General features: G+C 36.4%; 1 protein-coding gene across 9 annotated transcripts in view, besides 2 other annotated features; it reads right to left on the bottom strand.

Annotated features, from left to right (window-relative positions):
- NKAIN2 (sodium/potassium transporting ATPase interacting 2) overlaps positions 1 to 15,704 on the bottom strand; it is a 1,021,776-nt gene that overhangs the window by 70,692 nt on the left and 935,380 nt on the right. The window lies entirely within an intron of this gene.
- Positions 7,339 to 7,539: a silencer, noted in NCBI's record as "peak6096 fragment used in MPRA reporter construct". NCBI's record gives its function as "represses an SCP1 promoter by STARR-seq MPRAs in K562 erythroleukemia cells {active_cell/tissue: K562}" and the evidence as "EXISTENCE:reporter gene assay evidence [ECO:0000049][PMID:32103011]".
- Positions 13,259 to 13,459: a silencer, noted in NCBI's record as "peak6095 fragment used in MPRA reporter construct". NCBI's record gives its function as "represses an SCP1 promoter by STARR-seq MPRAs in K562 erythroleukemia cells {active_cell/tissue: K562}" and the evidence as "EXISTENCE:reporter gene assay evidence [ECO:0000049][PMID:32103011]".

The raw sequence follows: 15,704 nt of genomic DNA, 5'->3' as shown, positions 1-15,704 counted from the left end.
AATCTTAACTATTACAGTGAATGTACCACATTTTCTTTCTCCACTCTATCATTGATGGGCATTTAGGTTGATTCCATGTCTTTGCTATTGTGACTAGTGTTGCAATGAACATATGTGTATATGTGTGTTTCTGATAGAATGATTTATATTCCTTTGGGTGTATACTCAGTAATGGGCTTGCTGGATTGAATAGTATTTCTGTCTTTAGGTCTTTGAGGAATCGCCACACTGTCTTCCACAATGATTGAATTAATTTGCACTCCCACCAAGTGTATAAGCCTTCTTTTTTCTCCACAGCCGCTCCAGCATCTGTTATTTTTTGAACTTTTAGTAATAGCCATTCTGACTGGTGTGAGATGGTATCTCATTGTAGCTTTGATTTGCATTCCTCTAATGATAAGTGATGTTGAACTTGTTTTCCACATAATTGTTGGCCACATATACGTCTTTTCATGTGGCCAACAATCATATGGAAAAAAAAGTGTTCATGTCGTTTGCCTGCTTTTTTATGGGGTTAACATGAAAATGTTAACATTTCATGTTAACCCCAGCATTTACTCAACGACCAGCAGATAGAAGATTCTCAATAAAGTCTAATTTAATTAATTAAAGGATGTGATGAACTCAAATAAGACAAGGAATTCAGTGTACCAATTAGTTCAGTTTGCTGTTAGCATTCTTCAGAACTTTATTTACTATACTGAGTTTTACATAAACTATGTTTACATCCATAAATACCAGCTGAAGTCATTGCAAATGACTTCAGGTTTCCAGGTTCTCAGGTAAGAGTCTCAATCGTCATAGTACACAATTGCAAACTCAGTTCTTTGGAACCTGCTACTAATGCAGGTGCAATGCAGAAGGGATTCAACAAGCGCTTTGAAAATTGAGTCTTTAAGGAGCTTACTAAAATAGACTCATGAAAATTAAAGCCAAGAAAGATCTGATTGTTCTACGTAATTCATCCCTTGAGGACTTGTATGAGATTGTCTTTTGCAGCCTATTTTTCCATATATTTCCCCACGTAAAGTTTGAATCACTCAAACAAAAGGACTTCTAATCCTTCCATTGGGACAATTTTATAAAAGACCTCTTTATTAGGGAGTATTTCCTGATAGACATCATGAATTTTTCTGTGCTTAATTTTATCCCATTAACCCCAATTACACCTCCCTGGGGCAACAATAAACAATTCCAGCTTCTCCTCTGAAGTCACACTCTTCAGAGACTCCTCATTCTTTCCTGGTGTGATGTAGTCCAGCTGTGCACCTCAGTTCCTTTATTCTGAATTCAGGAGCAATCGTGGCCATCTAATCACTTTTATTTCCTTTCTTTGAGCAACTGCCAATCTGTTAAGAATTTTGACTCTTGATATAAATCCTCATATGCTTCATGCCCATTGTGGTCCATGCATATGAACCCTGATTATATAATAAGCCATTTTTCTCCAGGTGAACTGGTAATATGAGTATGAAAAAAGAATCTTAGTGTAAATGGCATGCGTAAAAAGCTAAACCGACAGAAATCACAATCTTGTTAGGATTTTCATCTTGCTGAATACAATTTTATGCTAAAGAGATTATCTTAGGAGGTTTTGTCTGCAGTACTGTTATTGTACTGGTTGATTTATAATCATAGTGTGCAGTTTTGCAAAGCTGCATCTTTCATTCAGAAAGAGATTTTGCTCTGCAGACAAGGTGACATGAAACACTTGCCCTTCTAAAAGAGGATTAGAGACTTTTACATTTTAAAGCCCATTTTGGTACAATCACTAACATGAAGCCAGTTTCCAATTTCATATGAAAAAGATCTCTAAGGAGATATCTGGCTTAATTAACTGAGAAATGACAAGTACAACAGAATTTCACACTGATAAAGTGTGACTTACCGTAAAGAACCTAACCTCACCTGACCTCTTCAGTGAAAACTGGCTTAAGAAAAGTGTTTAAAAATTATGCCTGAACACAAGCATGAAGAGCCAAGAGGACAAGAAAGAGAGGGAAGAATAATACAAAATTTGGATTTCTTTTGTTCCTTTTGTTGATGTGTAGTCTATGAGGCATTTGAAATATTTTCTGTATATATGTCAGATTCATTTCACAAGCATAATTTCATAAATACGATGTATTTCAAAAATAGAATTCATTCATTTCACAAGCAGAATTCATTTCTTCCTACATTGGATGCATACTTAGATATACATTCTTTGTTTAACCATCTTTGTATAATGAGCATAGAAGTGTGCCTATGAGCTCTGCTGACCTACCCACAAGTCTAGCCAAGTTACCTGGTTACAAATAATAACCAGATAATTGTGGGACTGTCATCCTGTGAAATTAGCTGCTTATTGTAAATGCTTACACTCCCCAAACATGCAGGCATGTATACACACACACACACACACACATACCCACATATACATTTTGATAACCAGAAAGTTTGATCATGTTCAGAATAGAGGAAATAACAAAGATGGGATAGGAGTAAGAAGGAAGAAAGAAAGCTTGAAGAAAATAAGATACCCTAGGAAGAAGAGAAGCGAATAATGTTACTCTCGTTACTTCTCACTTTTTACTTAATGCCTAAAGTATGTTTTAGGGAATTGCAGAACCAAGAGCTTTGGATAAATGTGAAGGGTAAAGGAAGAAACATATCTAAAATATTATGATTTTAAAATTATTCTGGAGAATGTCTGAGATTAATCACAGTGCTCCACCAAGAGCAATATGTAAGCTTTTCTTTCTAAGTCACCCCCTTCTGACAGAATTGTAAGGAAGGGATAGCACGGGCCATGATGTGGGGTTGTAACCTCCACTGCCTTTTAATTGTTAGTAAAATGTGAAATAAAAAGTAAAGCTAGGCATTTTCTAAAGCAGTAATACTTTCTGAAATACAGACACTTGTACATATATATTGTATGAAACCAGATTGAGATCTCTGGGTTTTTGTTTGGTTGGTTGATTGCTTGAGACAGAGTCTTGCTCTGTCACCCAGGCTAGAGTGCAGCAGTGCAACCACAGCTCACTGCAGCCTCAATTTCCCAGGACCAAGAGTTCCTCCCATCATCTCAACTTCCCACACAGTTGGGACTACAGGTATTTATTTATTTATTTATTTATTTATTTATTTATTTATTGAGATGGGGTCTCACTATGTTACCCAGGTTGGTCTCCAACTCCTGGGCTCAAGCAATCCTCCTGCCTTAGCCTCCTAAAGTGTTAGGATTATAGGGGTGAGCCATGGTGCCTGGCCTAAATCTCTGTCTTTTAATGTAAATTTCCTTAATACATAAGGATTTGGAGGTATACCTACTCTACTACAGCCACGGGCTAGTTCAGTGCAATTTGCTAATGAATAGACCTGCTGAGCTGCACTATGATAAACTGATTCCTTTAAATAATTTCCTCTCCTGTAACTACCCTATTTTTCAAGGGACATCTCAGGAACCCATCCTTTCTGATCCAGAAATATACACTTAGGTTCCTCCTCACCAAGAGGACCTTAGCATTCCCCTCTGGTTGACTAAACTTTAAGACAGGCAGGCTTCTTGACTCTAGGCTCCTAACACCCCTTTTCTTTAAGCATTTACTTTACAAAACCTGTATTTGTAAATCATTTCTCTGTCCTTTGGGGAAGTAAATCTTTTTAAAGGCCTCTTGCCAGTTTTACAACTAAGGAATGTCTTTCTTAAGGACCCAGAGACCATTCTCTGAAATGTAATAATCAAGAAGGATAGTGCCCCTATCTCCCAGTTTCTATGGGAGGATAGGAGCCTAACGTCATTAGGTGCCTTGCTCCAAGTTGTAAAACTACCTCTTTTCAAGAAGATTCCAAAAATTTAACTTTAACTTTGCATAAGGCCAATGAGCAAACACAGGTGGTTTTGACACTACAAAGTCTACAGTATTTCTTACTGTATTTAGGTTGGCTGGTGAAACTTTCCTGTGTGATCATTTTGCTTTCTAAGAAGCAGCTCTTGCTCTATCCAGAAACCCTAAATATTAGTTTTTTAGGTAGATTTTATGGTGTGATTCCACCATAAAATCTCTTAGAGCCTTGTCCTGAGTGCTCATATAAGATTGGGACCTTATCCAAGAATGGTGCAAAGTTAAAAACAGATTACTCTGTTGAACTGCACCGAAGGGTCACAATGTATAGAATGCAAATGTTTTGCTTGAGTGAAGGTAGCAAAGAAATGAAAGACACAACCTTTTAGGAATTTAACATAACTATAGGAATAAAAATGTAAACATACAGTTATTCAGTGAACAAGGCAGCCAAAGAGATAAAAAGACAAAACAACACAGCCAGAATGATATACTTACACAACTGGTATATTTAAAGTAAATGAAGCATATGTATTATTTGTTAGTTATTATGCTAGATTCTACATTTATCTCATATCCATCCATCCATCCATCCATCCATCCATCCATCCATCCATCCATCCATCTCTTCCTCCAGACTTTTGAATGACTAATTTGTACCTTTGCCAGGTGCTATGGCTAAAATGATAAACAAGACATTCTTTCACTCAAGAAGTTTATAAGGTATTAGAGGACACAGGTGGGTATAGACATTGCCCACTAAAATGTGATAGTGCTAAATATACACAGTTATGGAAGACTCAAGGTTGAGAATCTTACTCTACCTGATGGGTCTGGGCAATGTGACAGAAGTGGTGAACTTAAGCCTGGAGGAAAAATGAGGTTCTCTAGGGCAAAAGAATAACTAACATTTAGTAAATGTCCATCATATGACAGACGTTGTGTTATACGCTTTCATGTGTATTATTTCAAAGCCTCAAAATATTCTTACAAAGTAGGTTTTAATAATCCCATTTTGCACCACAGGCAAAGGAGCTTCTGAAAGTCTCAGGCCTAGTAAGTGTCAGAGTGACTAGGTCAAATACAAATCAAAATGGTTTCCAAGCTGATGCTATTTCAATTATATCACATGTCCCCAAAGAGAAATTTCATCCAAGCAGAAAGGAAGTTCCATCCAAGCAGAAAGAAGAGCATGTGCAAAGATAAGCATAAGTGGCACAGAATTTTGCAAGTATTTTGGTGTATTATAGGAAATGAAGGGGAAATAGTGGGAAATGGGGTTATAAAATAGGGTGAGATCAAATTATGAAGAATCAGATTTGCCAAACAAAATAAATGGGATTTAATATTATAGTGTGGATTTTTGATCTACAATTTTAGAATTTTATGCAGAGAATTGGGGCATAAGTTGACAATGACAGAAATCTGGAGGGTGCACTGGGATTGAAAGAGCATGTGGGGGACAATCCAAAGGACCAGATGAACAAAATAAACAAAGTACAAAGTCCTTTCCCAGTATGACGATGCACACAGTGTGACTCCACCATAAAATCTCTTAGAGCCTTGTCCTGAGTGCTCATATAAGATTAGGACCTTATCCAAGGATGATGTAAAGTTAAAAACATACATTTATAATTTTCTTTTTTACCCTAGAATAAATTTATAAATTTGTTGTTGAGATAGGCAGGGTGAGGTCCCCAAATACGTCCATCCCCTAGTCCCTATAACCTGCGAACCTGTTACATGACATAGCTAAAGGAACTTCACAGATATGAAAAAGGTTACAGATCTTGAGATGGGGAAATTATTCTGGATTATACAGATGGACTGTGTTCAGTCACAGGAGCTCTTAAAAGCAGAGACGCTTTCCCAGCTTGGGTCAGAGAGATTCATCATGAGAAGATCTCCACTAGCTGTTGCTGGATTTCAGGATGGAGGAAGACTCAAGCAGAGAGACCTGGTGGCCACTAGAAGCTTGGAACAGCCCTCAGTTGATAGCAAGGAAATGAGGACTCAGTGACACAACCTCAAAGAACTGAATTCTTTCAATGACCTGAATATTAATGAAATGAAATTTCTCCTAGAACCTCTGGAAAAGAATGCAGCCCTGCTAACACTGTAATTTCAGCTCAGTGAGACTGTGTTAGACTTCTGACCTACAGAAGTCGTGAGACAATAAATTTTTGTTGTTTTAAACCATTAAGTTTATGGTTCCTTGTTACAGCTGCAATAGAAAACGAATATACTTGCACACTTCTTTTTTTTTTTAAATTAGAAGTTAATATCAGAGCTGGGGAAAGTAGCAAATGGTTCTCAACTGGTTCTAAGAAAAGATTTAATCAATATTTTCACACAAACTCAGTAAATCAAATGGATAAACTAGAGAAACCCACAGATAAAGACACAAAACCCAGTGTCTTTAGTGCTCTGAATAGCAGAAAACAAGACGATAGATCTGCGCTTTATGTTGAAATTTTTATAACTTCCTCCGTGTTTATTTATTGCATTTTATCTTGTTTTGTCTGAAAAGTGATTGGCACTGATACTCTTAAACTGTAAAAAAAATCTTTGTTATCACCTTTGTGGGAAGACAGGGAAACAAAGAAGCTCTTTGGGACAAGCAGGTGGCAGTTACCACCAAAGGTGAGAAAAGCATCTGTACCCTTGGAATCTGGGGCAAAGGAATCAGGAGAGCATGGGAGCTTTCCTGATGTAAGAAGAGTGCCTGTAGGTGTTAAGAGCAGAAAGGCTTATGCTCTTTTGTGCTTCACTTATTCATTGACTTATTCATTCAATAAATACTTACTGAGTGCCTCCAAGTGTTAACTGCTGGCTTACCCATTACAGAACTCCCAGTCTAATGGGGCTGTGTAAACCAACAGTTGCATAGTGGAAAATGCCAAGATAAAGCTTTACAGGTAATTGTTGATATGGTGCTAAGACAAAGTGCTTGTGTACGTGTTGTGGCCTTATTGTTCTGCAACGATACTTGTACAGAGTTAAATGTTAAGAAACTTTCATGGCAAATTGTGGTGTGATTTTCATGACTGTTGAATATAATAACCACAAAGTGTGCTTAGTTTTTTCATCTTCTTATTTCACTTTTGTGATAATTTGTTTTTATTATATTTTTCAAAAACATTCATTGTGACGGACTGGCAAAAAAAATTGTTTGTGAAGCACTATTGTAACATTTAAAAGAAGTGCTAAGACTATATCATGAGGAAATAGAGGGAAGAAAGGGAAGAGTCAGGAGTATCCTATTTCAATTTTTGCTTTGAATTGAGTGTTTCATATTTTAATGAGGCACATTATAAAAAATATAAGAATATTTTTGGGGAAGCAAATGCCCCTCATCTGCTTGCATGTAGGCCCCCCTCCTCCATTTCTCTTGTGGGCCCAATTCTTTGGAGAAACTTACATGTGGCAAAAATGTATGCGACTATTCATCCCATCAATGAAAGATTTTAAAATAATTCATAACTGTTTAAGCAACACCCATACATGGGCTAAGCAAGTTTTCTTCTTCACCCTCTGTACTTGGAGCTTGTGCTAATTTTCCTGGCACGTTTACAGCTCTGGCTTCAGCATAACTTCTCTCCTTCACACTAAGCTGTTCTCTGATAAGGTGCAGCTGGGGAAATCCATTGCTCCCTGGACCAGTCAAGTTTTCACATCAGTTAAGTTAATTGACATAAGGCTTAACATATTTCTTGATTATGGCTGCAAAGTCATTACTAGAGGAATCCCCCAAATCATGGAAAAACAGTGTTTTCTGATTAATTGGCTCTGAAAATGGCTCAATAAAACTGCAACACACACCTGATGGAATTAGAATAAGGGACAAGGACAGCTCAGGAGAGACTCACAGAGTGAGAAAAGACCTGTGGGTGGTTAGGGACCAGGAAAGGACTGTGACCCCAGCTCTGGCCTTATTCAGCATCACTCAGCTTGGGTGACTGTGTCCTGCAAAACTTACAGGGCTATTATTAAAGAAATATTGAATATTATCTTTGAAATGGTTTTGAGAATTTAGTATCATAAACAGGATAAGATATTAATTCATAGAGAATAATGGCCAGTCATTTGTAGTTTTAAAAAAATACCTACTAGGCTTAATCCATATGTCATAACTTTTGTTGCTACAATTGCTTCAATTAGTCTTTGTTTTCTTTGGATATAATAGTGTTAATAGTACATTATTGATTCATAAAATTATAGAAGTGAAAGTGACCTTAGGAGGTGATCTAGTTCAATTTTCTCATTTTACGGATAAGAAAGCTGAGACTCTGTAAGATGAAGCGACGTCCCATAGGTCACTTAGCTTATTGATGGTAGAACCGAGTCTAGAAGTTTTTACATTTCTTGGCATTGAAAAATTTCTTTGTGTGATCATGGAAGTACTAAATGCTCATTGTAGAAAACTTGGGACATACTAAAGGTATAAAATAAATGAAAATCATACATAATTCCACAATTCAGAGATAAACATTCTTGATGATGTTTTACTGTATATCAGTACAGATATAAATTTTCCTCTAAAACTGAGATCTCATTTCATAGATAATTTGACATTCTCTTCTTTTATTCAATGTGTCAAAAAATTTATGCTGTGATTAAAAACTTCTCCTGCTATTATTTTAATAACTGAATAATATTCTATATCAATATGGTACAATAAATATAAACATGTTTGGTCACTGGTAAAAGTGAAGACTTTTAGTTCTTTGTACTTCTTTTTAAACTAGTTCATTCCTTTTCTTTTGTCTGTTTTTCCAATATTTGATAATATTATTCTCAGTGATTTAAAATGTTCCTTACTTATTAAAAGCACTAATTTTCTTTTCTCCTGCCCTCACAGGTAGAATGTTAAAACATGTTTACTTTTATTGTAATTTGGAATAATCATTATGAAGTTCAGCTCTTACCATGCACTGTATTATGGGTTAAGTAACTGGCCCAACCCCATATAACATGGCTCTGAGACAGACCTGTCATCAAAAGCAGGGGTGCCACATCAAAACCTACCTCACACTGCTTTTCTGTAGAGTTGATATCTGAAAAGTGTGGTTTATTCCCAAATTGTTACATAGGTAATGAGTTACAATATCTGATACTGTTTACATTTCATTTTGATTCTCATTGATACCTGAAACTGGAAACATCCCCCATTGCTCTTTCTGGCCTTTGACATTCAGTTAATAATTCTTGGCTTTTTAAAAAAATGTATGCCATAGGAGGTCTCAAGATTAATGAACAACTTAATAACATATTTATTGTTGTTATTTTTGGTAAGTAGGCAATCTTATAGGATGAGGATATTTACATGGATTTGCACACTAAGGATATGTCTGATCTTTGAAACATAACAGATGTCTAAAGAATACACAGAAACACAATTGAGAAATAACAGTAAAATTCATACTGTTTTTGGATATGTGAACATTTTCCTTATTTAAGTCTCTACAATTATTCTAGATTTGGTGGTTAAACAGAGATCTCAGCGAATGGTTTTAAAAATAATATTTAAAAGAAAGGCCATGTAAAATAACTTGGACCTCTGTAATGTTTTTGTTTCATAATAATTTTTGTTTAGAAAAAAGACAATTTAAAATTATTACAGATTCATATGTTGAACTATAAGGAGATTTTTGAAAAGCTGTGATACTTACAAAATTTCCACTAATGGGAAATATTCTAAATATTAAATTCATCCTTACATAAAACTGAAGTCTGAGAGATTCTGTCATATTAGACGGTAAAATCTGAACATTAAAATCCCACTAGGTGATGGACAAACTGTATGCTTCTAAGTGTTTGTACATCTACTCTGATATATTCATTTTTAAAGCCTTTTTGTAAAGTCTTCTTTAACTTCAAATATGTTAGAATATTTATATATTCTGTCATCCATTTTCCCATTTTGATCTAGTTTTGATTAAATTCCTTCCTTTGGGAAATGGCCATATCTTTTTGAAGTAATTGAACATTTTATAGTATCCTGCATTAGACTAATTTGTCTTTTCCACCATAGTATTAGGATGTCTGAAGAAAATTAAATGGAAAAAAAATCAGAAGAGAATCCAAAGATCTCCTGGCAATTTGAAAGTGGCTGGCGTTTTATGGGCTTGATGGAATCTTTGTTAATTGTGTGAGACATTTGCCCTTTACTGGAAAGTGGAGTTAGCACGTAGCCAAGGATGACATCTCACCTATTTGAACTTTACCATTTTGGAGATGTTTCTTGGAAAACATTTTAGTTCTATGCTTCTAAATGGACAGCATCTATCTCTTCATTACTGATAGAAAATGCTGAAGAAAAGATGTGTTGAAATACATCTCTGCTAAAATCTCTGTATTCCGTAATCATGACCCTTGTTAACTCAGTACAAAGAACTTGCATCACCATTTAAACAATGAATGAGGCCCATGTACGACCCCAAATACGCAAAATAGAATAGATGTAATAAATGTACTTACTTTCGAAGTGGCTGGGAACTAAATTTTAGATTATAAGCTTTCTGGAAATATCTGGTGTTCACTACACGGGGATAAAAGTAAGATCTCGCCCTACCCCGCCTCCAAGTTTGAAGGAAAATTGAAAAAAAAATAAATAGATTCGGACCTACTTATTATTGTTTTTTAACAGATAAGCAGAGGAGATTTGGGAAGTCAAAGTTCAATCAAAGTCATTTGGATGAAATAGGAAGAAGGCATTATGAGAATGTAAGTAACTAGAAAAGTTATATACAATCACTGTCATAAGTCACTCAGATGGTCTTATAAACTAAATCCATCTTCCTTTCCCTCCAAATAAATAAAAACAAAAGGCCAGAAAGAGTAAGATATTGTCCACGTTTCTCCAGTATATAAGTATGGAAGCCAGGGGGATATGTGTGTTTGCAACTAAAACTATTATTCAGGTTTATCTTTGCAGTTGTGAGGGATGTATCAGGCTATGCTGTTTTAATATCATCAGCCATTAATCAAAGTAACCAATATGCTCTGTTTCCAAGCCATCCCTAAAGAAAACAGAAAAGAAAAAAAGAAACAAAAATTTTCTTACTATAACTTGCTTTTTATGTAGATTTTTTCTAATTTTGAAAACATAACTGATCACAATTATTTTGTCTACTGGGTAGTTTTTATTTTGTTTATTAGAAATTAATAATTTGGTCATTATTCACAATTTTATAAATTAATAAACTGTCATTTATTCTACAGCAAACTCTTCTAGCTTTGGTCTATATCAATAAATTTAGTGAATCTCTTGACCCCGATTTTCTCTGGCAAACTTGAGTATCTTGGAACATGGAAATGTGAATAGCAAATAGTAAACCTTGATAACAGATGATAACTTTCTCTTTGAAAGTTGGGAGCAGTGAACTTACCAACAATACTTCTAACTTTTCTAATTTCAACACACCTATAAAGGTCATGGAATTTATAGGAGAGAAACAGGAAAGACACAGAAACAGCTGCCTGAAGCTTTGCACATATCTCAGAGAGGGATATCATGTTATCATTACAGTTCACTGTTTGCTGTTAAGGTTTCCACATTTCCAGATATTCAAGTTTGCCAGAGGAAATCAGGGTCGGGAGATTCACTAAATTCATTGACAAAGACCAAAGCTAGAAGAGCACACTGTAGAATAAATGGCAATTTATTGATTTAAAAATGTTAATAATGATCGATTTATTAATTATTAAAGTACTAATTTTAATGATGGACTACATGGAGAGGCTAGGATTTTAACTTATTCCACACATAACATTCTAAATTCTTAAGTAATTCATCATTAACATCAAAAACACATTGAGGGTTTACCACATTCTTTTATTTGTGTAGTGGCTTATTGAATCTCATAAAAATCTTCTGACATAGGAACTATGTGTTCCTACAGGTCAGGACACTGGTTTATAGAGTGGTTAGGCAAGCTTCCAAAACCACACAGCAAGCGAGGGGCAGAGATACAGTTTGTCCCAGGTGATCTGACTCCAGCGTCTGTACTTTCAACCACTATCCCCTGCCTCTGTGATGCCACAGTGTCCATTTAGTTGATGGCCTACAATGTGCTGGACACACTGCCAGATGCTGATCATGGAGCAGTGAAAGAGATTAATAACATCATTGTCCTTGTGAATTTCAGGCTAACATTTCTGAATGCTGAAGGAATTCATTTTTGAGTGAATTGTAATTTTAATGTTTTGATCTTATTATGTTATAAAATCTCCATCATCTTTACAAAAAGTAATTGCCCTGTGATTTTAAAATCTGAACATCTTCCAGGAAGCAGAACTCCAGGACTCATACAGGCCCAAGGCTTGGATGATGTCCTAGGTAAGGGCGTGATGGCAGGGAGTGAAAAGAGACTCACCTGGGATCCACAGTGTAACTTTCTAGGGAGGGGATGTTTCCTGAGAACACAATATGTTTGTGACAGAGGAGTGAGGTTAAGGCAGTCGACTTGTATTGGTTAAGGGTCCTCTAGAGAAACAGAACCAAAAAGAGAACCAATATATATTTATTATGAGAACTGGCTCATACAATTATAGAGGCCAAGAATTCTCACCATTGGCTGTCTGCAAGTCAGAGAACCAGGGAAGCCAGTGATGTCATTCAGTCTGAGTCCTGAGAATCTGGGGTGGGGGGTGATAGTGATGGTGAGAATGTGTCACTGGTATAAGGCCCAGAGTCCAAAGCCCTAAGAAACAAGAGCTTCTATGTCCATTGGCAGGAGAAGATGAAGTCTTGGCCTCAGAGGAGAGAGAGAATTTGCCCTTACTCTGCCTTTTGTTCTATTCAGGCCCTCAATGGCTTGGATGATGCCAGCCCTCATTAGTGAGGGTGAACCTTCTTTACTCAGTTTATTGATTCAAATAATAATCTTTTCTGGAGACATATCCAGAAATAATGTTTTTTACCCTCTATCTGGGTACCCTGTAACCCAGTCAAATAGTGCAAAATTAACAAGCACATTACCTAAATGACAAAACAGAGCCAGAGGCACATGTGATTCAGAGAAGCTATTGTTTGCTGCATGTTATGGGTGGCTATGACTTGGGATATGAGAAACATAGAGTTGATGGAGGCAGTATCCCAGCCTTGACACTGACCTGTTGGAATCTGAACATTCCACACTTTCATTGTTTCGTTGTTAAATAATATGGGAGAATGAATTTCCCTAGGCCTCTACTCTTCACTGATAAAGTTAAACCAGTACCATTTCCCTATTAATGGACACAACTTTCTTATTATAAAGCATTTATATTTATGATTTATGTTCTAAGGGGAATCAAAGTGGCTTACACATTGAAACCCATGATGAGGATAATAAAAAAGACCAAAAGACACATAAATGGAGTAGGTTGTGATGGATTACTGAAGTCAATTATAAAGCAGTTTGCCTTCACAAATTGCAATATGAGGGTACAATACAGAACCACCATCACAATAATCACAGTAGCCACCTTCAGCTGCTTTTGCCCTGAGGTTAAGTGGAAGTTCAGCTCCTCATTTTCTATTCTTACCTGACTTAGTGTTTTAGTCAGAGATAAGCACTCCCTTTGTTTCTATCTGAGGGCCCTCATATTTTGATAGCGGGTTAGTCAGAGGCTGTGTAGTATTTGTGATTCACACCAGTATTATTTCCAGCATTCATCTTCAATACTCATACATCCTGAGTTGTAGTTTCTATAAAATCGAAAAACCATTTCTACTGGATTTCTACATTCATTTCAAATGAATATTCATTGAAAACATAGAATCATTTTCTTTTAATGTTGCTATTCACTCTCATAATTCTTAGTAATATCTAAATATTAATGAATCCCAAATTTCTATCTCCAGTGCTGATCTCCCCTGAACTCAGATCAATATATCCACTTGCCTAATTGGCATTTCTGCTTGGTTGTATAGTAGACATCTAACTTAATATGTTCAACACAGAATCACTGATTTTCCTCCTCTAACTACACTCCTTCACGTTGTCCCCATCTCAGTGAGAAGAATCACTATTCACCTATTGTCCATTTGTGAGTTCTCCTTGATTTCTGTCTTTCTCATACACTTCTTTTGAGCATATCCCAAGATATATCCAGAATTGGAATTATTTTTTCTGTTTTTTCTGCTTTGCCACCATAGTCTAAGTTACCATCTTTTCTCAACTAAAGGATTCAGAGCTTCCAAACTGGTCCTTCTGTGAAATTCCATATTGACTTCCTACAGTCAGTTCTTTGCACAATAGCTCAAAGTCCTTAAAACTTTTCCTAATATATAATTAGATCAAATAAACATTCTTTATTACAACCTTTACTGTCCTTCTTGATCTGGTTTCTTCTCCAAATTTGTTCTCTACTGTGCTCCTTCTCTCTCATTCCTCTTCACACACACTAGCTGTCTTATAGTTTCTTAGAACGGCAAACTCACTGCCATTGCAGAACTTTGCCCTTGCTAACCCATTTTCCTGGAACGTTCCTCCCATAGATATTAACATGGTTGATTTTATCACTTCATTTAAGTCCTGGCACAAATGTCATTTTATCAGAGATGCCATCCCTGCCCTTCCAGATCTAAATTGCCCCTTCAACCTTTTTCTTTTTCTGTTTCTGTACCATGCTCAGTTTTTTTTTCATAGCACCTATCACCACACACACACACACACACACACACACGTGTATATGTGTATATATATATATGTTAATCTTCTGTCTCCTTCGCTGAAATATGAGCTCCATGAGGGAAGAGTCTTTGTCTTCTCTGATGGGTCCATTGGGCCTCAAACAGAGCTTGGCATTTAGTAGGCGCTCAGTAAATATTTGTGGAACTACAAACATACATACATAAATTATCTGGGGGAAGATTATGTGGCTATGAACTAACCATGTCTTCACTCCTGACTCCTCACCATTAGAATTCCTTCCCTAGTTAATACCATACTTAAATCATACATTTCAGTCACAGTAGCGAGATGATGGAAAGAAAAAAAAAAACAGGGGCAACCAACTTTTAGTTATTTTGAATGAGAAGTTTTGAGTGAAGACTAGGAGAAAAGCAATTGATTTCTGTGCACAAATGGAAGCACCAGCCATTAAACAAGTGTCTCTCCAGGCCCCTTTGTCTCAGATGAAACAGCTGGAGGGGCACTCCCAACACCAGAGAACATTTAAACCTTTCCCATGCTTTGCTCTCTGCCCAGCATAGTCCATTCCTTTCTACCTTCCCCCTGCCAGAACATGTGGATTGTGAGGGAGCTATTCAGATATCATTAAGTTTCTTTAGATGCCCTATAAATCCAGGATAAAAGGAAGCAGGAACACACGGGCTGTTTTTGAATCATGAAGTGTGTTGTATTTCTGCTGGCCTAGGCATCAGGTTGATGCAGTGCTCACTCTTCATCTTCGTTTGTGACCCTGTTGAAAATTGTGTAAGCTTCTCCCTTTTTCAAGATGTGTATGGTGCCTCTTCCTTCCTTTTCATGCACTCAACCCAGTCAACTAAGCCACATGCCTTCCATTATCCCAAGGGACATGCTACAATGATAACAGACTACGTAACCTTGAGCTGGCTCCAATCTTTATCAGGTAACATCTCTTGATGATCACACTGTGGAAGGGTCATTGGTTAGAAGATAATAGTTTCTGACACATTATCCTTAAGTTACCTGTGGGTCACTTCCTAGTTGTGAAGAATGGTGTGCACGCATGCATACACAAACACACACACACACAGAATAAGACAGAGTCTCTAATCTCCTATGATTAATTTCTGCCCATGCTGATATTGGCTGCCACTGCTTCAAGAATCAAAATCTGGAAAGGTGAAGATGTGTTTTTATACATTTTTCAATGGTCTATGAGAGCTAATGAATGTTAAAC

This window comes from Homo sapiens, chromosome 6 (genome assembly GCF_000001405.40).
Source record: "Homo sapiens chromosome 6, GRCh38.p14 Primary Assembly".
NCBI classification, from domain to species: domain Eukaryota; kingdom Metazoa; phylum Chordata; class Mammalia; order Primates; family Hominidae; genus Homo; species Homo sapiens.
The sequence above is the reverse complement of the archived record's forward strand: the minus strand, read 5'-3'. Positions and strand labels throughout refer to the sequence as shown.